At 42.6% G+C, this 27,436-nt stretch overlaps 1 protein-coding gene and 1 pseudogene across 9 annotated transcripts in view; one reads left to right on the top strand and one right to left on the bottom strand.

Moving 5' to 3' along the window:
• The window catches only part of PAFAH1B1 (platelet activating factor acetylhydrolase 1b regulatory subunit 1), a 92,433-nt gene that overhangs the window by 50,102 nt on the left and 14,895 nt on the right, over nt 1-27,436 (bottom strand). For 2 of the 9 annotated variants that reach the window (XM_047436163.1, XM_047436164.1), the window contains exon 1: nt 21,652-21,857. The exons of 3 other annotated variants lie outside the window; for them this stretch is intronic. Coding sequence is in view for 1 of the 6 variants with exons in the window: in XM_017024703.1 (XP_016880192.1) it covers nt 18,230-18,317; nt 21,652-22,322 (759 nt within the window). In the remaining 5 variants the exon portion in view is untranslated. Of the gene's footprint in view, nt 1-3; nt 128-17,809; nt 18,318-21,651; nt 22,403-27,436 lie in introns of those variants that run through there. 4 more of the 9 variants (XM_017024703.1, XM_011523902.4, XM_047436162.1 and 1 more) reach the window with 4 other exon arrangements.
• Nucleotides 21,545-22,232, top strand: SAMD11P1 (sterile alpha motif domain containing 11 pseudogene 1; annotated as a pseudogene).

Below are 27,436 nucleotides of genomic sequence, written 5' to 3'. Positions count from 1 at the left end.
CACCTATAGTCAGTCCCAGCTACTCAGGCGGCAGAGGCAGGAGGGTTGCTTGAGCCCAGGAGGTCAAGGCTGCAGTGAACCATGATTGTGGCACTATACTCCAGGCTGGGCGCCAGAGAGAAACTCTGTCTCTTAAGAAATAAAAATAAAAGAAAGAATGATGACAGTACTGGCACAGTAGGATTATCTAATAATGATAAAACACATACATAAATCATTAAATATATTGGTGTACTGAACAAATTTATTCATTCAACAAACATATAAAGAACACTTAATTTATATTATGTGCTACGTATTGTCTTAAATAACATGTTTAATGGGGAAAATGACTTGGTCTTTTTTTTTTTTTTTGAGACAGAGTTTCACTCTTGTTGCCCAGGAGGGCACTGGCACAATCTCAGCTCACTGCAACCTCTGCCTCCCAGCTTCTAGTGATTCTCCTGCCTCAGCCTCCTGAGTAGCTGGGATTACAGGCACCCACGACCATGCCTGGCTACTTTTTGTATTTTTAGTAAAGACGGGGTTTCACCATGTTGGCCAGGCTGGTCTCAAACTCCTGACTTCAAGTGATCCGCCGGCCTTGGTCTCCAAAGTGCTCGGATTACAGGCTTGAGCCACCACACCTGGCTGGACTTGGTCTTTACATTCAAGAAGTTACAGTCTACTGGAAGCATCGGCCAAGAAGGCAATTAAAACAGCGTGAATAATGTGACAAGTATTGCCACCTGCGGGTGATGACTCAGGACGAAGCTGAGCAAGCAAACAGGCCACAAAATAAACTCAGGTCTTTATAATTTATCCCAGGGCCAATAGGGAGCCATTAGATAAGATTTTAGGAAAAAAAAAAATCACTCACTTACATAGTGAAGAATAGATCAGAAAGGAAGCTTACAGTAATGAAGGTTACAGATGACAGAGGTCTACATTAGGACAACAGGAGTAAATAAAAAAAATGAGATGCATTTAAGTTGTTTACTGGGTATATCTTACAGGACTAGTGACTCAATGTGGACAGCCAGAAAGGGAGAAAGTCAGTCAAGGAGTCAAGTGATTTCTGGCTTACAACCAAGTTGAGACTGGGCGCGGTGGCTCATGCCTGTAATCTCAGGACTTTGGGAGGCCAAGGTGGGTGGATCACCTGAGGTCAGGAGTTCAAGACCAGCCTGGCCAACATGGCAAAACCCCGTCTCTACTAAAAATACAAAAAATTAGCTGGGCATGGTGGCGAGCACCTGTAATCCAGCTACTTGAGAGGCTGAGGCAGGAGAATCGCTTGAACCTGGGAGGCGGAGGTTGCAGTTGAGCTGAAATTGAGCCATTGCACTCCAGGGTGGGCAACAGAGCAAGACTCCGTCTCAAAAAAACAAACAAAAAAACTAAACTAAATTGAACAGGAAACTAGAATGTGTGAGGGGATGAGGAAAGTATGATTAACTCCATTTTACGTATGTTGATTCTAAGATGCCTGTGAAATCTCCAGTACCAAACTGTAACAAACAAGTTAGTTCTGAAGCGAACCAACCTATTAAAAAAAAAAAAAAAAAAAAAAGGTTTGGTACTTTTTATTTAGAAATGTTTTCTGAAACCACAGCAGATGGTAAGATTACCCATGGAGACTGTGCAGAGCAACACCTATATTAAAAAGAGCCTACAACTGAGGCTGAAAGTAACAGTTCAAGAGGTAAAAGAAAAAGAGGAGAGAGTATGTCTCAAAAGCCAAGAAAGTATTTCAAGGAAGCAATCAACAGTATCCAAACCTGTCCAACTATCAAGCAAAGTAAGGTTGGATGGGTCTGTTGTACTCAGCAAGGAGTTCGTTGATAACCTTGATGAGAATGGTTTCAGTAAAATGGTTTCACATGGCAGAAATATTTAAATGAGGAAAGAGATGAAGCAGAGATGGTACCATAAACAAATATTTTAAAAGTAGATGAAAATATTGAAAAGCAGTTTTTCTCTTTCTTCCCCCAGCCAAATTAGATACTTAAATCCTGATAGTCTAGGTATGATGCCTTACAAATTAAAAAAAAAAAAAGAAATCCTGGCTGGGCACAGTGGCTCACACCTGTAATCCCAGCACTTTGGGAGGCTGAGGCAGGTGGATTACCTGAGGTCAGGAGTTTGAGTCCAGCCTGACCAACATGGCGAAACCCCATCTCTACTAAAAATACAAAAATTAGCTGGTTGTGGCAGCAGGCACCTGTAATCCCAGCTACTCGGGAGGCTGAGGGAGGAGAAGTGCTGGAACCCAGGAGACGGAGGTTGCAGTGAGCTGAGATTGCATCACTGCACTGCCCTGGCAACAGAGCAAAACTCCAGCTCCAAAAAAAAAAAAGAAAAGAAAGAAAAAGAAAAAGAAAAAAATAAATCTTGATGGTGGAGAAAAAGACCACAGGAGAAATGAAGAAAGAATTAACCAAAGCCTAGTGAAACAACAAAAAGACAACCAGACCAGGGGTATGATTATAGTTATATATCTATATAACTACAGTTTATATTGGTGTAGTGATGGAATAACAACTACCACCCAAGAAGTATTCTTGCCACAAAAATCAAACATGAATCAAGCCTCTGGCTCCAACTACCAATCTGCAAGAAGTACAGAGGGCAGATGAATACAGTGTGCACCTCAGTATCCATGGGGCAATGGTTCTAGGACCTCCAGGATTTTGGTATCCGAGGTTGCTCATATCCCTGATAAAAAATGGTGTAGGATTTACATATAACCTATGCATATCTTCCCCTATAATATAAATCATCTCTGGATTACATATAATACTCAATACAATGTAAATATTATGTAAATAGTTGTTATAATGTATTATTAAGAGAATGACAAGAATAAAAGTCTGTATATATTCAGTACAGACATATTTTTTTCTAATATTTTCTATCCGGGATTGAATTCACAGATGCAGAACCCACAGATACAGAGGGCCAACTGTACGTTAAAGAACACCATGGGGATACAATCAACAAAATCTAGACTGTGAAAAGTCCTATAAAACAAATGACCCAGTTTCTTCAATAAATACCAAGGGAAGAAAAAAGAGATAGAAAGGGAAACCTCTGGATTAAGTGAGACAAGTAACATATCAACCAATAGCAATTTATAGACTTAATTTAGATCTAGAGTTAGACAAATTGTAAAATAAACCAATGAACAAACTTGGGAAAATTTGAACACTGGCTGGACATCTGGTAATACTAAATAACTGAATTTTTTTGAAGTGATAACAGTATTGTGGCTATTTTTAAAAATCTTTCAGAAATACACAATGAGGCTGAGTGTGGAGGCTCACGCCTGAAATCCCAAGACTTCGGGAGGCCAAGGCAGGAGGATTGTTTGAGGCCAGGAGTTCAAGACCAGCCTGAGCAACACAGCAAGACCCCATCTCTACAAAAAGAAAATAAACAATGAAAAAGCTACATCAAATCGAAGTAAAATAATATCATGTCTGTGACTTGGGTAATGACAGTGAATAAGAGAGATACATGAAACAAGACAGGCTTTGAATTGCTAACTGTTGAGGCTGGGTAATGGGTACATAATGGTTCATTACACTACTCTAACTTTGTGGAAGGGTCTGACATTTTCCATAATAAAACATTTTTTAAAAAATCAGAAGGAGAGGAATTAAAGGATCATGGCAGACAGGAAGCAGGACTAGATTGCAGCTTCGGACAGAGCTGCATGCAGAGGCTTGCACTGTGAATTTTAGCTCCAGATCCACTGCAAGAACAAACCAGCAACCCCAAGAGGATCCACAGACCCTCTGAAGGAAGCGGATTGCTCCTGCAGGACCCGGGAGACACCCCAAATACTGTGAGTGTCCCAACTGCAGAAGTGAGAAAGGAAGACCCTCCTCTCCTGAGCACACACCCCCACTAGAGAAGCTGAAGGTCCGTTTGCAGTCGAAGTTTCAGACTAACTTAGAGAGCCACGCAAAATGCAGGGATAGAGGATGCAGCAGAAAGGCCCCGGGAGCTCACTGGATCCCCAAGCAGCCCATTCTTGCCTGGCACCACAGGGAGGGTGGACAGAGAAGGAGGGGGTAAAACCCCACAGGGAGAAGGAATTCTCTAGCCAAATTTTGTAACCATCTGAATGGGGTGGGAAGCCTCCTGGCCAGAACTCAGGGGAGGGTGCGAATCCGGCATGCAGACTTCACAGACTACGGAAGAACTAAAGCCCTTTTCTTTCACCGCTGGGAGGCAGATAGCCTGGGCCAAGTTTCCTTTCTTTCTTTTTCTTTCTTTTTTTTTTTGAGACAGAGCATCTTGCTCTGTCGCCCAGGCTGAAGTGCAGTGGTCCAACCTTGGCTCACTGCAGCCTCTGCCTCCCGGGTTCTAGTGATTCCCCTGCCTCAGCCTCCTGAGTAGCTGGGATTACAAGCACACGCCACCACGCCTGGCTAATTTTTGTATTTTTAGTAGAGACAAGGTTTCACCATGTTGGTCAGGCTGGTCTCAAACTCATGACCTCAGGTGATCCACCACCTCAGCCTCCCAAAGTGCTGGGATTGCAGGCGTGGGCCACCGCGCCCAGCCTTGTCATAATTTTTAATGACTGAATGATATTTGATCATGTGGATGTACTATTTTTAACAATCTTTTATGGCTAGATATTTAAATCATGTCTATTTTCAATTACCAGCTTGAAGACAGTAACCCAACCCAACAAAGACAAAGAAAAAAGAATAAGAAAATATGAACAAAGCTTCCAAGACGTCTGGGATTATCTTAAACGACCAAACCTAAGAATAATCAGTGTTCCTGAGGAAGAAGAGAACTCTAAAAGCGTGGAAAACATATTTGGGAGAATAACTGAGGAAACTCCCCCGGCCCTGCTAGAGACCTAGACATTCAAATACAAGAAGCACAAAGAACACCTGGGAAAGTCACTGCAAAAAGATCTTCACTAGGCACACTGTCATCAGGTTATCCAAAGTTAAGACAAAGGAAAGAATCTTAAGAGCTGTGAGACAGAAGCACCAGGTAACCTATAAAGGAAAACCTATCAGTTTAACAGCAGATTTCTCAGCAAAAACCCTACAAGCTAGAAGGGATTAGGGCCTTATCTTCGGCCTCCTCAAACAAAACAATTATCAGCCAAGAATTTTATATCCAGTGAAACCAAGCATCGTGTATGAAGGAAAGCTACAGTCATTTTCAGACAAACAAATGCTGAGAGAATTCACCATTACCAAGCCACCATTACAAGAACTGCTAAACGGAGCTCTAAATCTTGAAACAAATCCTTGAAACACATCAAAACAGAACCTCTTTAAAGCATAAATCACATAGGACCTACAAAACAAAAATTCAAGTTAAAAAGCAAAAGCAAAAAACAAAAAAACCCAAAGTACACAGGCAACAAAGAGCATGATGAATGCCGCGGTACCTCACATTTCAATACTAACATTGAATGGAAATGGACTAAATACTCCACTTAAAAGATGCAGAACTGCAGACTGAGTAAGAACTCACCAACCATCTGCAGCCTCCTGTTCAGGAGACTCACCTAAAGCATAAGGACTCACATAAATTTAAAGTAAAGGGGTGGAAAAGGGCATTTCATGCAAATGGACACCAAAAGCAAGCAGGGGCAGCTATTCTCATATCAGACAAAACAAATTTTAAAGCAACAGCGGTTAAAAGAGAAAAAGAGGGACGTTATATAATAGTAAAAGGCCTTGTCCAACAGGAAAATACCACAATCCTAAACATATATGCATCTAACACTGGAGTGCCCAAATTTATAAAACAATTACTAATAGACCTAAGAAATGAGACAGACAGCAACACAATAATAGTGGGGGACTTCAATACTCCACTGACAGCACTAGACAGGTCATCAAGACAGAAAGTCAACAAAGGAACAACGGATTTAAACTATACCCTGGAACAAATGGACTTAACAGATATACACAGAACATCTCATCCAATAACCACAGAATACACATTCTATTCAACAGCCCATGGAACTTTCTCCAAAGCAGACCACAAAACGAGCATCAATAAATTTAAGAAAATTGAAATTATATCAAGCACTCTCTCAGACCACGATGGAATAAAACTGAAAATAAACTCCAAAATGAACCTTCAAAACCATGCAAATACATGGAAATTAAATAACCTGTTCCTGAATGAGCACTGGGTCAAAAATGAAATCAAGATGGAAATTAAAAAATTCTTTGAACTGAATGACAATAATGACACACCCTATCAAAACCTCTGGGATACAGCAAACGCAGTGCTAAGAGGAAAGTTCATAGCCCTAAACGCCTACATCAAAAAGTCTGAAAGAGCACAGACAATCTAAGGTCACACCTCAAGGAACTAGAGAAAGAGGAACAAACCAAACCCAAACCCAGCAGAAGAAAATAAATAACCAAGATCAGAGCAGAACTAAATGAAATTGAAACAAACAAACAAAAAAACACAGTACAAAAGATAAATGAAACAAGCTGGTTCTTTGAAAAGATAAAACAAAATTGATAGACCATTAGCAAGATTAACCAAGGAAAGCAGAGAGAAAATCCAAATAACCTCACTAAGAAATGAAACAGGAGATATTACAACTGACACCACAGAAATACAAAAGATCATTCAAGGCTACTGTGAGCACCTTTACACACATAAATGAGAAAACCTAAAAGAGATGGATAAATTCTTGGAAAAACACAACCCTCCTCACATAAATCAGGAAGAATTAGATACGCTGAACAGACCAATAACAAGCAGTGACACTGAAACGGTAATTAAGAAATTACCAACAAAAAAAGGTCCAGGACCAGACGGATTCACAGCAGAATTCTATCAGACATTCAAAGAAGAGTTGGTACCAATTCTTTTGATAATATTCCACAAGACAGAGAAAGAAGGAGCCCTCCCTAATTCATTTTATGAAGCCAGCATCACCCTAATACCAAAACCAGGAAAGGAAACTACAACCAAACAACCAAAAAAAGAAAACTACAGACCAATATCCTTAATGAACATAGATGCTAAAATCCTTAAAAAAATACTAGCTAACCAAATCCAACAACATATCAAAAAGATGTGTTGATCCACCATGATCAAGTAGGTTTCATATTAGGGATGCAGGGATGGTTTAATATATGCAGGTCAATAAATGTGATACAATACATACAGAATTAAAAACAAAAACCACATGATCATCTCAATAGATGTAGAAAAAGCGTTCAACAAAATCCAGAATCCCTTTATAATTAAAACTCTCTGCAAAATCAGCATACAAGGGAAATAACATAATAAAAGCCAACTATGACAAACCCACAGCCAACATAATAATGAAAGGGGAAAAGTTGAAAGCATTCCCTCTGAGAACTCGAACAAGACAAGGATGCCCACTCTCACCGCTCCTCTTCAACATAGTACTGGAAGTCCTAGCCAGAGCAATCAGACAAGAGAAAGAAATAAAGGGCATCCAAGTCAGTAAAGAGGAAGTCAAACTGTCACTGTTTGCTGACGATATGATCGTTTACCTTGAAAACCCTAAAGACTCCTCAGATAGCTCCTAGAACTGATAAAAGAATTCGGCAAAGTTTCTGGATTCAAGATTAATGTACACAAATCAGTAGCTCTTCTATACACCAAGAGCAACTAAGCAGAGGATCAAATCAAGAACTCAACCCCTTTTACAATAGCCACAAATAAAATACTTAGGAATATACCTAACCAAGGAGTTGAAAGACATCTACAAGGAAAACTATAAAATGTTGCCAAAAGAAATCAGAGATGACACAAACAAATGGAAACACATCCCATGCTCATGGATGGGTAGAATATTGTGAAAATGACCATACTGCCAAAAGCAATCTACAAATTCAACACAATCCCCATCAAAATACCATCATTCTTCATAGAATTACAAAAAATGATTCTAAAATTTATGTGGAACCAAAAAAGAGACTGCATAGCCAAAGTAAGACTAAGCAAAAAGAACAAATCTGGAGGCATCACACTATCTGCTTTCAAACTATACTATAAGGCCATAGTCACCAAAACAGCGTGGCACTGGTAAAAAATAGGCACATAGACCAATGGAACAGAATGGAGAACCCAGAAATAAACCCAAATACTTACAGCCAACTGATCTTCAACAAAGCAAACAAACACATAAAGTAGGGAAAGGACACCCTTTTCAATAAATAGTGCTGAGATAACTGGCTAGCCACATACAGGAAAATGAAACTGGATCCTCATCTCTCACCTTATACAAAAATCAACTCAGGATGAATTAAGGACTTAAACCTAAGACCTGAAACTAAAAATTCTAGAAGGTAACACTGGAAAAACCCTTCTAGACATTGGCTTAGGCAAGGATCTCATGACCAAGAACCCAAAAGCAAATGCAATAAAAACAAAGATAAATAGCTGGGACCTAATTAAACTGAAGAGCTTTTGGATGGCAAAAGGAACAATCAGCAGAGTAAACAGACAACCCACAGGGTGGGAGAAAATCTTCACAATCTATACATCTGACAAAGGACTGATATCCAGAATCTACAATGAACTCAAACAAGTCAGTAAGAAAAAACAAACAATCCCATCAAAAAGTTGGCTAAGGACATGAAGAGACAATTCTCAAAAGAAGATATACAAATGGCCAACAAACATATAAAAAATTGCACCCAGGCGGGGTGGCTCACGACTGTAATCCCAGCACTCTGGGAGGTCGATGCGGGCAGATCACAAGATCTGGACTTCAAGACCAGCCTGGCCAATATGGTGAAACCCTATCTCTACTAAAAATACAAAAATTAGCCGGGCTTGGTGGCACGCGCATGTAATCCCAGCTACTTGGGAGGCTGAGGCAGTTGAATTGCTTGAACCAGGGAGTCAGAGGTTGCAGTGAGCCAAGATCGCGCCACTGCACTCCAGCTCTGGGCGACAGAACAAGACTCCGCCTCGGGGGGGGGGGGGGGGGGAAGAAAGGTGATGCCGGTTCAAGTTTGTCATCAACTCTATAACCTGAGTAATTAATCTAAATTTTCTACATAGTAGCTAACATCTAAGGCACCCTTTAACTCAGATTATTTCAGCCTGTGAATTTTCTAACTTTAACCTTTCCAACCTTTAACATGTATTTTTGCTATCAGAAAGCACAAGTATATGATTGAGTTATCATACTTATTTTAAGAATACAATTTTACCTTTCCAGTTGCCTTTTAATGGTTAACACATAATCGCAAAATACCACATGAAAACAGAAATAATTTTTTTTTTTTTTGAGACGGAGTCTCACTGTCGCCCAGGCTGGAGTGCAGTGGCGTGATCTCGGCTTACTGCAACCTCTGCCTCCTGGGTTCAAGCGATTGTTTTGCCTCAGCCTCCCGAGTAGCTGGTATTACAGGTGCATACCACTATGCCTAGCTAAATTTTTTTGTATTTTTAGTAGAGACAGGGTTTCACCATGTTGGTCAGGCTGGTTCCCAACTCCTGACCTCAAGTGATCCACCTGCCTTGGCCTCCCAAAGTGCTGGAATTACAGGCATGAGCCACCACGCCTGGCTTTTATTAACGTTTTTCTGTTTTTCTTGAGACAGGGTCCTCACTCTGTCACTCAGGCTAGAGAGCAATGGCATGATCGATCATAGCTCACTGCAGCCTCTAACTCCTAGGCTCAAGAGATCCTCCTACCTTAGCCTCCTGAGTAGCTGGGACAACAGATGCATGCCACCATGCCTAGCTAATTTTTTCTTTTTACCCCCAACCTCCGCTAGAGACGGGGTCCCGCTATGTTGCCTAGGCTGGTCTTTAATTCCTGGGCTCAAGCGATTCTGTCACCTCGGCCACCCAAAGTGCTGAGATTACAGGAAAGAGCCTCCATGCCCAGCCTCTAATAAATGGTTCTTAAATGGAGTAAACATTTTTTAAAGAAAGAGTTTAGAATATTTTGCAACGAACAATCTACATTAACCAACAGTACAAATAAATCAGGCAATATTTTCATACTACCTGGTATAGAAGTTCTTAACCTTTTTTGAGGTTACTGGACTCCTTTGAGAATATAATGAAAGCTAAGATCTTTCCTCTCAAAGAAGCACATATGAAAATAAACAAAATATTGCATGTATTTTAAGGGGGTTCACAAATCTTTCCAAAGTCAAAATAACGAATAAGAAGATTTAATATTTTTGAAATGTATTTTGGCAGTATTCCAATATTCTTTTAAGCTACTTGCATATATGACAAACAAAATTCAAAGAGTCTGATTTTTTCATTTGCATGTCAATATCCAGACTTTCTTAGACTGATATCAAGGACACTGTTGCTTAAGCACTAGAAACAGAGGCTTTAGTATGCTTTTGGAATGCAGAATTCTTAAGCATTCTCTAGTCTAATACTATATCCACGTATCTGCTATCCAATGCAGCATCTAAGACAACAATGTGTTTATTGCTAGGGTAAGTACCCCACCACAAAAAGAGAAAGTGGAAGAGTTAAAAAAAAAAAAATAGAAAGTATAAATAATTATATGTTAACAGTAGAGGCGCAATGACATGAAAATGGAAATCATCGGATTTATTATCAGATGTAGAAGGAAGAAATAAAGACTTATCCGGTAATTCATCAATTATCAATGGTTCCTAACCTCAAACTGTCACTTGCCAAAGCTTTATTTAAAAGGTCAGCAGAGGCCGGGCACAGTGGCTCAAGCCTGTAATTCCAATATTTTGATGGACCGAGGCATGCAGATCGCTTGAGCCCAGGAGTTCAAGACTAGCCTGGGCAACACAGAGAAACCAGGTGATATGGTTTGGCTGCGTCCCCACAGAAATCTCAACTTGACTTGTATCTCCCAGAATTCCCATGTGTTACGGAAGGGACCCAGCGGGAGGTAACTGAATCACGGGGCCAGTCTTTCCTGTGCTATTGTTGCGATAGTAAGTCTCACAAGATCTGACAGGTTTATCAGGGGTTTCCATTTTTGCTTCTTCCTCATTTTTCTCTTGCCCCTGACATGTAAGAAGTGCCTTTCACTTCCTATCATGATTCTGAGGCCTCCCCAGCCATGTGGAACTACAAGTCCAATTAAACCTTTTCTTGTTCCCAGTTTCGGGTATGTCTGTATCAGCAGCAAGAAAACGAACTAATACAGTAAACTGGTAACAGTAGAACGCGGAATTGCTGAAAAGATACCCGGAAATGAGGAAGTGACTTTGGAAGTGGGTAACAGGCAGAGTTTGGAACAGTTTGGAGGGCTCAGAAGACAGGAAAACCTGGGAAAGTTTAGAATCTCCTAGAGACTTGTTGAATGACTTTTACAAAAATGCTGATGGTGATATGAACAATAAGGTCCAGGCTGAGGTGGTCTCAGATGGAAATGAGGAGTTCGTTGGGAACTGGAGCAAAGGTGACTCTTATTATGTTTTAGCAAAGAGACTGGCAGCATTTTGCCCCTGCCCTAGAGATTTGTGGAACTTTGAACTTGAGAAAGATGATTTAGGGTATCTGGCAAAAGAAATTTCTAAGCAGTAAAGCATCCAAAAGGTGACCTGGGTGTTTGAAAAGTATTTCGTTTTCAAAGGGAAGCAGAGCAACCAGGGGCAGTGGCTCACGCCTGTAATCCTAGCATTTTGGGACGCCAAGGTGGGCGGATCCTCTGAAGTCAGCAGTTTCGAGACCAGCCTGGCCAACATGGTGAAACCCCATCTCTACTAAAAACACAAAAATTAGCCAGGAGTGGTGGCTAATCCCAGCTACTGTGGCTGGGATCCCAGCTACCTGGAGGCTGAGGCAGGAGAATCACTTCAACCCAGGAGGTGGAGGTTTCAGTGAGCAGAGATCGCACCACTGCAGTCCAGCCTGGGCGACAGAGCAAGACTCCATCTTTAAAAAAAAAAAAAACGGGGAAGTAGAGCATGAAAGTTTAGAAAATTTGCAGCCTGACTATATGATAGAAAAAAAAACAACATTTTTTGGCCAGACGCAGTGGCTCACGCCTGTAATCCCAGGACTTTGGGAGGCCAAGGCGGGTAGATCACAAGGTCAGGAGATTGAGACCATCCTGGCTAACATGCTGAAACCCTGTCTCTACTAAAAATACAAAAAATTAGCCGGGTGTGGTGGTGGTCACCTGTAGTCCCAGCTACTCGGGAGGCTGAGTCAAGAGAATGGCATGAATCCAGGAGGCGGAGCCAAGATCATGCCACTGCACTCCAGCCCGGGCGACAGAGTGAGACTCCCTCTCAGGGAAAAAAAAAAAAAAAAAAAAAAGAAAGGAAAAACCCATTTTCTGGGGAGAAATTCAAGCTGGCTGCAGAAATCTGCATAAGAAGCAAGGAGCCTAATGTTAATCCCCAAGACTATGGAGAAAATGTCTCCAGTCCATGTCAGAGAACTTCCTGGCAGCAGCCCCTCCCATCACAGGCCTGGAGGCCCAGGAGAAAAAAGTGGTTTCATGAGCTGGGCCCAGGGTCCCCATGCTGTGTGCAGCCTAGGGACTTGGTACCCTGTGTCCCAGCCACTCCAGCTGTGGCTGAAAGGGGCTGACGTACAGCTCAGGCTGTGGCTTCAGAGGGTGGAAGCCCCAAGCCTTGGCAGCTTCCACGTGGTGTTGAGCAAGTGGGTTCACAGAAGTCAAGAATTGAGGTTTGGGAACCTCCAACTTGATTTCAGAAGATGTATGGAAACGTCCAGATGCCCAGGCAAAAGTTTGCTGCAGGGACAGGGCCCTCATGGAGAACCTCTGCTAAGGCAGTGCTGAAGGGAAATGTGGGGTCAGAGCCCCCCATACGAGTCCCTACTGTGAGTCCCAGCTGTGAGAAGAGGGCCACTGTCTTCCAGACCCCAGAATGGTAGATCCACCGACAGCTTGCACTGTCGCCTGGAAAAGCTGCAGACACTCAAGGCCAGCCGGTGAAAGCAGACAGGAGGGAGGCCGTACCCTGCAAAGCCGCAGGAGCAGAGCTGCCCAAGACCATGGGAACCCACCTCTTGCATCAGCGTGACCTGGATCTGAGACCTGGAGTCAAAGGAGATTATTTTGGAGCTTTAAAATTTGACTGTCCCGCTGGATTCTGGACTTGCATGGGCCCTGTAACCCCTTTGTTTTAGCCAATTTCTCCCATTTGGAATGGCTGCATTTACCCAATACCTATACCCCCATTGTATCTAGGAAGTAACTAGTTTGCTTTTCATTTTACAGGCTCATAGGCAGAAGGGACTTGCCTTGTCTCAAATAAGACTTTGGACTGTGGACTTTTGGGTTAATGCTGAAATGAGTTAAGACTTTGCAGGACTGCTGGGAAGGCAAGATTGGTTTTGAAAGGGAGGACATGAGATATGGAGGGACCAGGGGTGGAATGATATGGTTTGGCTGTGTCCTCACCCAAATCTCAACTTGCACTGTAGCTCTCAGAATTCCCACGTGTTGCAGGAGAGACCCAGGGGGAGGTAACTGAATCATGGAGGCTGGTCTTTCCCATGCTATTCTCGTGATAGTGAATAAGTCTCACGAGATCGGATGGGATTATCTTGTTTCTGGTTTTGCTTCTTCCTCATTTTTCTCTTGCCACCACAATGTAATAGGTGCCTTTCGCCTCCTGCCATGATTCTGAAGCCTCCCCAGCCATGTGGAACTGTAAGTCCAATTAAACCTCTTTTTGTTCCCAGTTTCGGTTATGCCTTTATCAGCAACGTGAAAACGAACGAATACATACACCCCATCTCTACTAAAAAATACAAAAATCAGCTGGACATAGTGGCGCACGCCTGTAGTCTCAGCTACTCAGAAGGCTGAGGTGGGAGGGCAACACCTGGGATGCAGAGGTTGCAGTGAGCTGAGATGACGCCACTGCACTCCAGCCTGGGCAACAGAGGGTGACCCTGTCTCAAAAAAAAAAAAAAAAAAAAAAAAAAAAAAAAAAAAGACAGATTATCTACCATGCTTGAATAGCACGTATTATATATTATGGCTCTTAATCCAAATATTTTCCAGATGCAGCAATGAAGCAAGGCAGAAGTTATTCTCAGTCAAGAACTAAGTATCTTTTCAGGCCAGTTGCTTTCAAGAATCTGTTAAGCAATGTTTCCTGATAAGCTGGGTTCCATGACACCTTGCAAGTTACCAGATGTTTAGAATAGTAATTCCACATGGATGGAACTGGAGGCCATTATCCTTAACAAACTAACACAGGATTGCAAAGCCAAATAGCGCATGTTCTCACTTACAAGCGGGAGCTAAATGATGAGAACATGTGGACACATAGAGGGAAACCACACACACTGGGGCCTTTCGGAGGGTGAAGGATGGTAGGAGGGAGAGAATCAGCAAAAATAACGAATGGGTACTAGGCTTAACCTATGTAACAAACCTGCACATATACACCTCAACTTAAAAAAAAAAGGTAGTTTCAAAATAACAGCATTTTTTCAAATTCATTTATGAGACAGAAGATTTTTATTAATATGTATGACTATTCATATCACAGATATACTCTTGTTTTCAACAATTTTTGCCATTTTATTCAATTATCTTTAGTTTTGTACACAATCTATTAAAGGAAAAAATCTATTTTTTAAAAAAGCTGGTAAAGAATTAAAGATGTTTTGCCTACAATTTAGTGAATTAAAATCTGAATTTCAGTTAGAAAAGTAAAAGCAACTTTTTTTTTGAGACAGAGTTTTGCTCTTGTCACCCAGGCTGGAGTGCAATGGTGTGATCTCGGCTCACCGCAACCTCTGCCTCCCAGGTTCAAGTGATTCTCCTACCTCAGCCTCCCGAGTAGCTAGGATTACAGGTACGCGCCACCATACCCAGCTAATTTTTGTATTTTTAGTAGAGACGGGGTTTTACCATGTTGGCCAGGATGGTATCAATCTCTTGACCTTGTGATCTACCGACCTCGGCCTCCCAAAGTGCTGGGATTACAGGCATGAGCAACGGCGCCCGGCCACGCTACTTTCTTAGTTATGCTGGTTCTACAAGCTTTTTAAAACCAGACAAAAACTTAAACAGCACAGACAACCAGCATCCAACAGAAAAGAGACATAAAACTTGTTTATTCACTTTTAAGTCTTAATGTTCCTACCTAATAATCTATTTTTTAGATAATCAAAAAAGAATCAAACCAAAATATTATAAGATACTGAGTTAAGTTACAACAAAGTCACAAAAAGTAAAGAGAATTAGATAGGAATCTGATGTTTATAAACAATCTGTACATTTCCATTCTAAGGTGAATGTTACAGTTACAAGAATGTTCTGAATGCAGCATAAAGCAACATTACCTTACTTTAGGCTTAGACAATCAACTCACCAAATGCTTGGGGAATCTCACCTAAAGTTCTAAGCTACAAGGAACAAAATTTAATCAAAATAAGAGATTACGCACTTTCTTCTGAATATACTAAAAATCAGGTAGAATTTATCAAGTAGCATTTATGAAAATATGGGGCTGGGGCATATTTGTGGGGGCATATTACAAAGAGGCCAGGGCCAGAGGATTGCTTCAATCCAGGAGTTCAAAACCAGGCTGGGCAACACAGCAAGACCACATCTCCACAAAGAATAATAATAAAAAAATAATAATTAGCCAAGCATAGTGGTGCATGCCTGTGGTCCTAGCTACATAGGAGACTGAAGCAGGAGAATATCTGGGCCCAGGAATTTGAGGTTACAGTGAGCTACGATCAAACCACGGTACTCCAGCATGGGTGAAAGAGGGAGACTCTGCCATTAAAAGAAAAGTTTGATGTTCACAAAGTCTCCCTAAACCCCAGTTTCCTCATTAAGCCTGAGTTTCCTCAATTGTATAATAGACTTAAATGTGAAATTCACCTTAAAAGATTCAGTGAGGAATAGGCAGGATATTAATGTAAACAAATTTTATAAACTAAGAAGTACCATATGTTACCTATTACAATTAGTTCTGAACTTTAAGTCAAGACCCCAGGTAATTCAGGAACATCTCCTGAGAGGAAAAAAAACAAAAAAAAAACAGGTAAGGGCCAGGCACAGTGGCTCACACCTGTAAACCCAGCACTTTGGGAGGGTGAGGTGGGCAGACTGAGCTAAAGAGTTCAAGACCAGCCTGGGCAACACAGTGAAACCCAGTCTCTACCAAAAAAATTTTTTTTAATTAGCCAGGCATGGTGGCACATGCTTGTAGTCCCAGCTAGTGAAACCCCATCTCTACAAAATAATTTTTTTTAATTAGCCGGGTGTGGTGGTTGGTACATACTTAGGTCCCAGCTACCCAGAGGCTGAAGTGGGAGGATCACCTAAGCCCAGGAGTTGGAGTCTACAGTGAGCTGCGGTGATTACGCCGCTACACGAAAGCCTAGGAGACACAGTGAGACCCTGTCTCAAAAATAAATAAAGAAAAATAACAAAATAACAAAAAACAAAACAAGCAAACAAAAAACCCCAGCTAAAACAATGAACTTGAGACATGCTTTCTTATAAAAGTCCCTGAAATTGGCTTACTTTTGACAGTTCTCGTTTAACATCGTGAAGAATTATCTCTTGTGGGAGTGTTATATGACTGTTGCTCTGAATTTTTTTTTTTTTTTTTTTTTTTGAGACGGAGTCTCACTCCATTGCCCAGCCTAGAGTGCAATGGTACAATCTCGGCTCACTGCAGTCTCCACCTCCTGGGTTCAAGTGATTCTCCTGCCTCACTGCAACCTCCACCTCCCGGGTTCAAGTGATTCTCCTACCTCGGCCTCCCAAGTGAGCGAGTACCTGTAATCCCAGCTACTCGTGAGGCCCAAGCAGGAGAATCACTTGAACCCAGGAGGTGGAGGATGCAGTGAGCCGAGATCACGCCACTGCACTCCAGCCTGGGCAACAAGAGCGAAACTCTGTCTCAAAATAAATAAAAAAATAACATAAATAAATAAAACTCCATCATTAACACTATACTATAATGCAGTCAAATAATTTCTTTTAAAAAAGTAAATTTTCCTATAAAATCATTGCATCACGTATCTGAAAAAGACTCCAGTCTTTAGCTAAATCCATGAGATTACATAGAAGGACAAAATACTCCGTAAGAGTAACTTCATTTCCTTAGATCAATCTTTTTATTTCCTTTCTTACCCAGAGAGGTAAATTTCTAGAGTTTTAAAATTGTTTTCTGATTAAAAGGTGGCAAAATTTATCAAAAGATTAACTTCATGTTCTTGAAGTATCGTGTGCTCTGTATGAATAACTGAAGATATGAGAGAATTTAGACTTTTCCCATTCACACTATTACAAATGATAAATGAAAGTTTGGTTTGTTTGAGACAGAGTCTTGCTCTGTCGCTCAGGCTGGAGTGTAGTGGCGCAATCTCGGCTCACTGCAACCTCGCATCTCCCAGGTTCAAGCGATTCTCCTGACTCAGCTTCCCGAATAGCTGGGATTACAGGTGCCCACCACCACGCCCAGCTAATTTTTTGTATTTTTAGTGGAGGCAAGATTTCACCATGTTGGGCAGGCTGCTCTCGAGCTCATGACCTCGTGATCCACCCACCTCGGCCTCCCAAAGTGCTGGGATTACAGGCGTGAGCCACCGCACCCGGCCTAAATGCAAGTTTTTAATCCAATACCGAGACGTTTTTTGATGCGGGACTGAGTCTCGCTCTGTTGCCCAGGCTGGAGTGCAATGGCGCAATCTCCACTCCCTCCCTACAACCTTCACCTCCCAGGTTCAAGCAATTCTCCTGCCTCAGCCTCCCGAGTAGCTGGGATTACAGACACCCACCGCCACACCTGGCTAAATGCTGCATTTTTAGTAGAGACAGGGGGTTTCACCATGTTGTCTGTGCTGGTCTCAAACTCCTCACCTCAAGTGATCTGCCTGCCTCAGCCTCCCAAAGTGCTGGGATTACAGGCGTGAGCCACCATGCCTGGCCTCAAACACTGAGACTTTAACACGTCTACTTCTTATTCTGCTTCAGCTTGGAGGCCCATCTATGATTCACTAGCATCTGCTGTCAGCAGGTAATAAAAACAAAAAAAGAGATCAGGTTGGTTTATCAGTATGGTAAAATCACTGAGGGATGGACTGTGCTCAGGTATGGTTCACTGAAAAAGTTGTAAAATTCTTTTACAGCTTCACCATCTCCTCGCTTTTCTATTAGTTACAGCTAACCACTATACTTCATTCATTTTGCAAGATTTAAGTTACCCATCCAAAATTTACATAGGAAAATGTTTCCTATTTTACGATTAGCCTTGAGCCAAAGATTAAGCTACCACTTTTTTCACTGAGAAGCATTCCTACTGACCTCAAATCTACTAACTCCAGTATTAAAGGCAAGTGCTGCAAATAGTTGGTCCACAGCTTTAAATCTGAAGAAATAAAGTAGAAATAGTTTTGGGGCTTTGAAATCAATCAGACTTAGATTTAAGTAACACAATATAAGTCATATCTGGATGTCTGTTTTTTTCTTATTAAGAGCAATCATTTTTTTTTGAGACGGAGTCTCGTTCTGTCGCCCAGGCTGGAGTGCAGTGGTGCGATCTCGGCTCACTGCAACCTCTGCCTCCCGGGTTCACACCATTCTCCTGCCTCAGCCTCCCGAGTAGCTGGGACTACAGACGCTCGCCACCAGGTCCGGCTAATTTTTTTTTTTTTTTGGTATTTTTAGTAGAGACGGGGTTTCACCGTGTTAGCCAGGATGGTCTCGATCTCTTGACCTCGTGATCTGTTCGCCTCGGCCTCCCAAAGTGCTGGGATTACAGGCGTGAGCCACTGCACCCGGTCTGCCCTTTGCCTTTCACCATAAGTCCCAAATGTACATTATGAGATGGTTTCTATTACAGTCTTGTGATGGTTAATTTTACATTCCAACTTGGCTAGGCCCAGTATATTTGATCAAACAATAGTTTAGATGTTGCTGTGAAGATATTTCTTCAGATACAATTAACATTTAAGTCAGCAGACTCAGAGTAAAGTCAATTATCTTTATAATGTGGGCGGGCCTTATTCTATCAGTTGAAGACCTTAAGAGAAAAAGAAAAGACTGATTTCCCAAGTAAGATAGAATTCTGCCAAAAGACTGCGTTTGGACTTGAGATGCAACATCACCTCTTCCCCAGGTCCCCGGCCTGTCAGCCTACCCTACAGATTTTGAACTTGCAAGCCTTCACAATAGCATGAGCCAATTCCTCAAACATCAATCAACCAGTCAATCTCTACACACACACACCCTATTGGCCTTGCTTCTCTGGAGAAACCTAATATACTGCCATACTCCAGCAGTAGTATTCTTCTATAATATAGAACCGTTATTAATATAAGCTTAGTCTGTCACTAAACTCTACCAGAATGAATATTCTTCACTCTTCATACTGCTTGAACTCTACTCCCTGGGTACCCTCCAAGCAAATTAATGCTTTCAAGGATTATCAAATGTAATAAACTGCTCTCCATTCTACAACAAACAAGAAAGATGTGCTGAATAAGGGCTATTTGAAGAATAAAGTAGGTAACTGAGAACTCATCCTATTCTTGTTTCGTCGTTGCTTTCTTTCCACTAAGTTTTTGTATTCACTGCCTCTGCCGCTTGTAAGCACCCTCATTAATGCTCATCTTTCCTCTCTTTACTTTTCTCTCCTTGTGTCTTCTTTCTCAGTCTGTCTACCTTATCACCTCCTGGATTTCCTTATCACCTCCTGGGTGCATCCTTATTGCCACACCAGACTGATCAAACATGTTAGGTACAATCTTCATCCCAGATGTGTTCATTTGTTGATGGGTGCTCAAAGACTACTTCTTCACTGCCCCTCTAAAAAGAGAAAGTTTCAGGCTGGGCGCGGTGGCTCACGCCTGTAATCCCAGCATTTTGGGAGGCCAAGGCAGGGGGATCATGAGGTCAGGAGTTCAAGACCAGCCTGGCCAAGATGGTGAAACCCTGTCTCTACTAAAAATAGAAAAATTAGCCAGGCGCGGTGGCAGGCCCCTGCAGTCTCAGCTACTCGGGAGGCTAAGGCAGGAGAATCGCTTGAACCCGGGCGGCAGAGGTTGCAGTGAGCCAAGATTGTGCCACTGCACTCCAGGCTGGGCGACACAGTGAGACTCCATCTCAAAAAAAAGAAAGAAAGAAAGTTTCCTACTTTTGTCTTCGAAATGAAGCCATTTTGAACACCTAAAGGTTCTAAAGAAACTGAATTATGACTTTAGATTTTGTCATAAATCGCTTTTTCCTTGTACTTTCTATCTGATATCAGTTGTTGTATATTATACACATGTACAGTCATTCCAGGACCCCCCGGATACCAATAAAACAATGCTCGAATCCCTTATATAAAATGGCTTAGTATTTGCATATAACCTACACATATACTCTCATATACTTTAAATCATCTCTAGATTACTTAGAATACCTAAAAAAATAAAAGCTATGTAAATAGTTGTTATATTGTATTGTTCAGGGAATAATGACAGGAAAACTGCATGTTCAGTACTGACACAACTATCATTTTGTCTGAATAGTTTCAATCTGGAGTTGGTTGAATCCACAGTACAAAACCCATGGATATGGACGGCCAACTGCATATGCCACAAATAGTGGGAAGGAATGTGAGGACAAACATTGACTGTTTTCGTATGATTTTCAAGATTGTGGGTCACTTTTTTCCTTTAAATTTACTTTAATGTTGGCCTGCAATGGTGGTGCACTATAATCTTTGCCCCTTTGGAGGCTGAGGTGGGAGGATTGCTTGAGGCCAGAAGTTTAACACCGGCCTGGGCAACGCAGCAAGACTCATCTCTAAAAAAAAAGAAAAGAAAAAATTATAAAATCTAGCCATGCATGGTGGCATGTGCCTGTAGTCCTAGCTACTCAGGAGGCTAAGGTGGGAGGATCACTTGAGCCCAGGAGTTCAAGGCTTTGGTGAGCCATGATGACACCACTGCACTCCCGCCTAGGCAACAGAGCTTTTATAAAAGTCGTCTTTAAAAATCCTTCAAGAAGAAAACACAGTTGCCTTGTTCATTATATAACTATCTAGTCTTCCTGGGATGTTGTAATACAGACACATTCTTTGCATCTATATTAAGTTTGCTGCTTTCTATCTTATGTTCTCTCCCCTTTGTATCTAGACCAGGGGTCAGCAAACTCTGCAAAGATAGTAAGTATTTTAGGTTTTGTGGGCCATTCAGATTCTGTAGCAACTCTTCTGCCACTGCAGTAAGAAAGCAACAATAAACAATATACTGGCTAGGTAAGTGCCACGGCTCACTAATCCAGCACTTTGGGAGGCTGAGGCATGAGGATCCCTTGAGCTCAGGAGTTTGAGATCAGCCTGGGCAAAACAGCAAGACCTCATTCTACCACAAATTTAAAAATTAGCCAGGAATGGTGGCACACACCTGCGGTCCCAGCTACTCAGGAGGCTAAGGTGGGAGGATAGCTTGAGCCTGGGAGGTTGAGGCTGCAGCAGTGAACTGTGATCACATCACTGCACTCCACCCTGGGCGACAGAGCCAGACCCACGTCTCAAAAAAAAAAAAAAAAAAAAACCCAATATATAAACAATATATAATATATAAAGAGGCCGCTCATTGCGCTACTGTTGACAAGGAGCTGCCACAGCCGCCCCCTCTTGCTGTCGCCCCAGAATGCCCCTCACATCACCCTGGGCCCCCATTTCAGGCCCCCCTTTCTGGGAGTGCCCTCACCTCTGTGCCAGATCCCAGGCTACGGATTCCTGCCCCTGCCCGAGTGGAGATGCTCGCCCGGCATCAGGAGCTCCTGCAGAAGCAGAACCTGGCCCAGCGCCACAGGGGGACTCTCTGTGGATGGGGAGGAGGCCCCAGCCCTTGAGGACGTCAGCAAGTGGACCATGGATGATGTCTGCAGCTTCGCGGAGGGGCGGCTGTCTGGCTGTGGAGAGTATACTCAGGTCTTCAGGGAGCAGGGGATCGAAGGGGAGACCCTGCCACTGCTGACGGGGGAGCACCCGCTGACCACCACGGGGTTGAAGCTGGGGCCTGCCCTCAAGACCCAGGCCCAGGTGGCCAGGCGCCTGGGCCACATCTTCTACATGGCCAGCTTCCCCATGGCTCTGCCGCTGCAGCCACCAACACTGCGGGCCCCAGAGAGGGAACTCAGCACAGGAGAGCAGCAGCCCTTGTCCCCCATGACAGCCACCTCCCCCTATGAAGGGGGCCACGGCCCTGCCGGCTGAGCTTCGCCCAAGCAAGAAAATGGGACCTTGGCTCTGCTTCCAGGGCCCCCAGACCCTTCCCAGCCTCTGTGCTGAAGTGGCCAGGGGTGGGTGGGGGGTGGGGCCACACAAACTCCCAGGAGCCACCACTTGATGCAATGGCCTGCCTCCCACAGCTTGCATTCTTTCTTTCAGTTTTGGATGCAAACAAAAACAAAAACAAAATTTTAAAGGAAAATGTGAAAAAAAAAGAAAGAAAAAGATATGGTTTTGTTCCAACAAAACTTTATGGACACTAAAATTTGAATTTCACCTTTTTTTTTTTTTTTTTTACAAATTATTAATTTATCAAATGGATTTTATAAAATTATTTTACAAAACATTTTATTTTGATTTTTCGACCACTAAAAATTGAAAAAACAAACAACAAACATTTTTAGGCTTATGGTACAAAATCAGGTGGCAGGCCGGGCATGCTGGCTCACACCAGTAATCTCAGCACTTGTGGAGGCCGAGGCAGGAGGATCACTTGAGCCCAGGAGTCTGAGACCAGCCTGGGCAAAAAAGTGAGATCCCCACCTCTACAAAAAATCAAAAACAGCCAGGCGTAGTGGTGCGCATCTTGTGATCCCAGCTACGTAGGAGGCTGGGGCAGGAGGATTGCTTGAGCCTAGGAAGTCAAGGCTACAGAGAAGCCGTGTTCAGGCCACTGGACTCCAGCTTGGGGGACAGAGTCCCCTTCTCAAAATAAAAACAGCAGGATTTGACTTGCTAGCTATAGTTGGCGAACCCTCTTACATCTAGAAATTATCTGATACAGCTACTTTTAATAGTAGTATCTATTTCACAAGATTGTCGGGAAGATACGGCCGGGCATGGTGGCTCACACCTTTAATCCCAGCACTTTGGGAGGCTGAGGCGGGCAGATCACCTGAGGTCGGTAGTTTGAGACCAGCCTGGCCAACATGGCAAAACCTCGTCTCTACTAAAAAAAATACAAAAAATTAGCCAGGCGTGGTGGTGCGCGCCTGTAGTCCTAGCTACTTGGGAGACTGAGGCAGGAGAATCACTCGAACCCACGAGGCGGAGGTTGCAGTGAGTGGAGATCATGCCACTGCACTCCAGCCTGGGCGATGAGACTCAGTCTCAAAAAAAAAAAAAAAAGTGCCATTTTCCCAAAATGGCACATTTATTCAATATTCAAAGCTTTAACAAAATATCAATTATTCAACAACCGTCAAACAGTATTGGCAAAAAATAAAATACCTTTTAAATCGTCACACCAAGATACTACTAGGGTTAAACCATTAAAAACTGCCAATAATGGTTCAACCTAATAGCTATCAATGATATTTAAACATCATTAGCAAGCCTCTCAGCAGCTAGCATAAACAGCAGAACTTGCGGGTTTAGTTACCATTCTCACTAGTTTTGACCCCAAACAATTAAGCGAACACAGAGTAACCACCTCTTCTGTGACTTCATAGTACTTCATACATACACGTATTTACCACTTCTCACAATACACTGTAATTATCTGCCCTGATGTTGCCTCAACCCTTGACACACTGTTCATTGTGTCCCGACCAAACTCATGGTAATTAGTGTTTCTAAACAACTACTGTAGGCATCCTAGTAAAAACTAAGATCAAAACTTACTGTGTTCTGAGAGAGTAAAGACGTACTCTCACTCTTCTTTTTTAAAATTCAAAAGAAAAAGTAAGCGAGACTCCGACTCAAAACAAACAAAAACCAAACCTCTCCTTACATTTAATCTATGCTGAAAACCAGCATGAGTCCTGATTCACGGGTCTTCTGCTGAAGCAAATTCTAGCAATATAAAACACAGCTGTGTCCTGGACCCCTTTTCTGTATTTCTTTCTTTTTTTATTTTTTTTTTTTGCCCCGAGACGGAGTCTTGCTCTGTCACCCAGGCTGGAGTGCAATGGCGTGATCTCGGTTCACTGCAACCTCTGCCTCCCAGGTTCAAGCGATTCTCCTGCCTCAGCCTCCTGAGTAGCTGGGACTACAGGCGCACACAACCATGCTCGGTTAATTTTTGTATTTTTAGTAGAGATAGGGTTTCACCATATTGGTCAGGCTGGTCTCGAACTCCTGACCTCATGATCCGCCTGCCTCAGTCTCCCAAAGTGCTGAGATTATAGGCATGAGTCACCGCGCCTGGCCCTTTTCTATATTTCTTAATGTTTTTACCACTTTTGGATATTCTGGAAGAATATTCTCTACCCACCTTCAAATTACAGAGAAGAAGACAGACAAGGATGAAGAAGATTTGAAATTATTTTCTAACAAGAATTTTAATGTACAGTCACTCCCACAAATTCTATTCTGGGTAAAATTAGATTTTCACAGGGTAATTTAAATCCTACATATGAATGGTCTGTACTTGATGTATGGAGGTACCTGCCAAGGAGGTTAAAAAGCTGGGTTGAGGGAAACTCATCCACTCATCAGACACTGAAAGACAAATCTATCCACTCTTTCAGACTGACTCATGTGATGTGATTGGTCTCCCACACTAAGACTACTTAAATACTTGTCATCCATCTACCTTAAAGATGTTGAAGAGGATAATAATAATTACAACATAATCCTCTTTATGAGAGCCCCATGAGAAACTCTAGCCCAAGCTTGTGCTACCCACGGCCCAGGACAGCTTTGAATGTGGCCCAACACAAATTCGTAAGCTTTCCTAAAACACTGACATTTTTTTTGTGACTTTTTTTAAGCTCATCAACTATCGTTAGTGTATTTTATGTGTAGCCCAAGACAATTCTTTTTCTTCCAATGTGGCCCAGGGAAGTCAAAATATTGGACACTTCTGCTCTAGCCTGATAGTGCCAAGTGGTTAGTTATCTTTCTGAACTATCTAGTTATTTTGTATCTTAAGGACACTGTAAAAAAATAAACTACCAAGTTTTTCTCTCCTGCTGGTTCCTAGAAAGCTCAGAGTCAAATCTGTGCTCTGCCTGTAGGAAGAAAATTATAATAAACCTTTTTGGCCTACATCCTGACTTGACTTTATCTTTATCTTTTGTTTTTGTTTCTTCTTTCTCCTTACTTTTATCTGAGGCATTTTGTAGTTTTATGCATCCTCATAAATTGCTTTAAATAAGGAGTTACAAATCAAATACAGAGACCAACTTGCCAGGTGAAAGTCTGAGTCGGCTAGAAATAGAACACCAATGATAGAACTGCGTTTTCAAAGTTCAATTAAAAACAAAATTACTGGCCAGCCACAGTGGCTCACGCCAGTAATCTGACCACTTTGGGAAGCTGAGGTGGGCAAATAATTTGAGGCCAGGAGTTCAAGACCAGATGGCCAACATGGCGAAACCCTGCCTCTACTAAAAATACAAAAATTAGCAGGGCATGGTAGCACACGCCCGTAATCCCAGCGACTTGGGAGGCTGAGGCACAAGAATTGTTTGAACCCAGGAGGCAAAGGCTACAGTGAGCCGAGATCGTGCCACTGCACTCTAGCATGGGCGACAGAGCAGGACTCTGTCTTAAAATATATATATATTAAAATATTCTTCGTTTCAGCCGGGCGCGGTGGCTCATGCCTGTAATCCCAGCACTTTGGGAGGCCTAGGCGGGTGGATCACGAGGTCAGGAGTTCGAGACCAGCCTGGCCAACATGGTAAAACCCCGTCTCCACTAAAAATACAAAAATTAGCTGGGCCTGGTGGCGGGCGCCTCTAATCCCAGCTACTCGGGAGGCTGAGACAGGAGAATCGCTTGAACCTGGGAGGCAGAGGTTGCAGGAGCCGAGACAGCGCCACTGCACTCCAGCCTGGGCAACAGAGTGAGACTCCGTCTCAAAAAAAAAAATCTTCATTTCCAGAAAAATATGCTCTTTTCTACTTTTCTTGAAAACTACAGCTGTCAAGCTATACTTTTTTTCATTTTTGAAAGAAACATCATCAATAGAGAAGTATCTGTCCACCATGAACAATACAAGGGCGATAATAAACACCAACAAGGAGGACCAGCAACTTGTTCCACTGGAGAGCGTATGCTCATCTAAAGGCAGGCAGCGGGAGCCGGGCGCGGTGGCTCATCCCTGCAATCCCACAACTTTGGCAGGCCGAGGCAGGGGGATCACTTGAGCCCAGGAGTCTGAGACCAGCCCCAGCACCAGAGTGAGACCCCATCTCCAGCAGGGGGAAAAAAAAATTCAAGAAGGCAGCTGTAATTCAGCTTAGGTTAACTGCTGTCATGGGAAAATGTGGGCTGCCTGTTGACAGAGCTCCTAATTTTTCAGGATAACCAGAAAATAGAGACTTTATGTAAAACAGCTAGTTTTTAAATGTTGGCTCAAAAAAATGTTAACCATCAATGCAAAGAGAAATACAAGGCTGCCAGTATTCAACCCCTGGCTAGATAATGAATAAATATGTTTGAATGGTTGAAGAGACGGAAGAAAACAGAATGAAGTTTAGGAAATTATGGTCTAAAATTGATGCAATAATATTATCCATTCTCTTTATTCAGCTCGAAGCATAAATATTACCAAAGAACAAATATTTTATTTAATTAACCTAAGGGTGAATTCTGCAGTGCAAAAACAAACAAATCATTTTTTATTTTTAGAGATGAGGTCGCACCCGGTTGTCCAGGTTGGAGTGCAGAGGCACAAGCACAGCTCACAGCGACCTCAAACTTCTAGGGACCACAGGCACATGCCACCACATCCGGTTAATTTGTTTTTTGTAGAGACAGGGTCTCACTATGTTGCCCAGGCTGGTGCCAAATTCCTGGCCTCAAGCAATCCCCTGCTTTGGCCTCCCAAAGTGTTGAGATTACAGTTGTGAGCCACCACACCCAGCCCAAGTAAACACATCATATCATCTCACTAGCAAACACCTTCCTTATGTTCACTGCAGCATTGTCTGTAATAGTAAAAAGCTGTAAACAACCTAATTGCCCATTTCTGTAGTCTAAACATAAAGAAAATATGGTAAAAGGGCCAGGTGTGATGGCTCACGCCTGTAATCCCAGCACTTTGAGAGGCTGAGGCCAGTGGATCACGAGGTCAGGAGTTCGAGACCAGCCTGGCCAACATAGTGCAACCCCCATCTCTACTAAAAATACAAAAATTAGCCGAGCATGGTGGTGCGTGTCTGTAGTCCCAGCTACTCAGGAGGCTGAGGGAGGACAATCGCTTGAACCTGGGAGGTGGAGGTTGCAGTGAGCTGATATTGTGCCATTGCACTCCAGCTTGGACAACAGAGTGAGACTTTGTCTCACAAAAAAAAAAGAAAAAGAAAATA

Source organism: Homo sapiens, chromosome 17, assembly GCF_000001405.40.
Source record: "Homo sapiens chromosome 17, GRCh38.p14 Primary Assembly".
NCBI lineage: Eukaryota > Metazoa > Chordata > Mammalia > Primates > Hominidae > Homo > Homo sapiens.
Note: the sequence above shows the minus strand (reverse complement) of the source record. Positions and strands in the feature narration are given on the sequence as shown.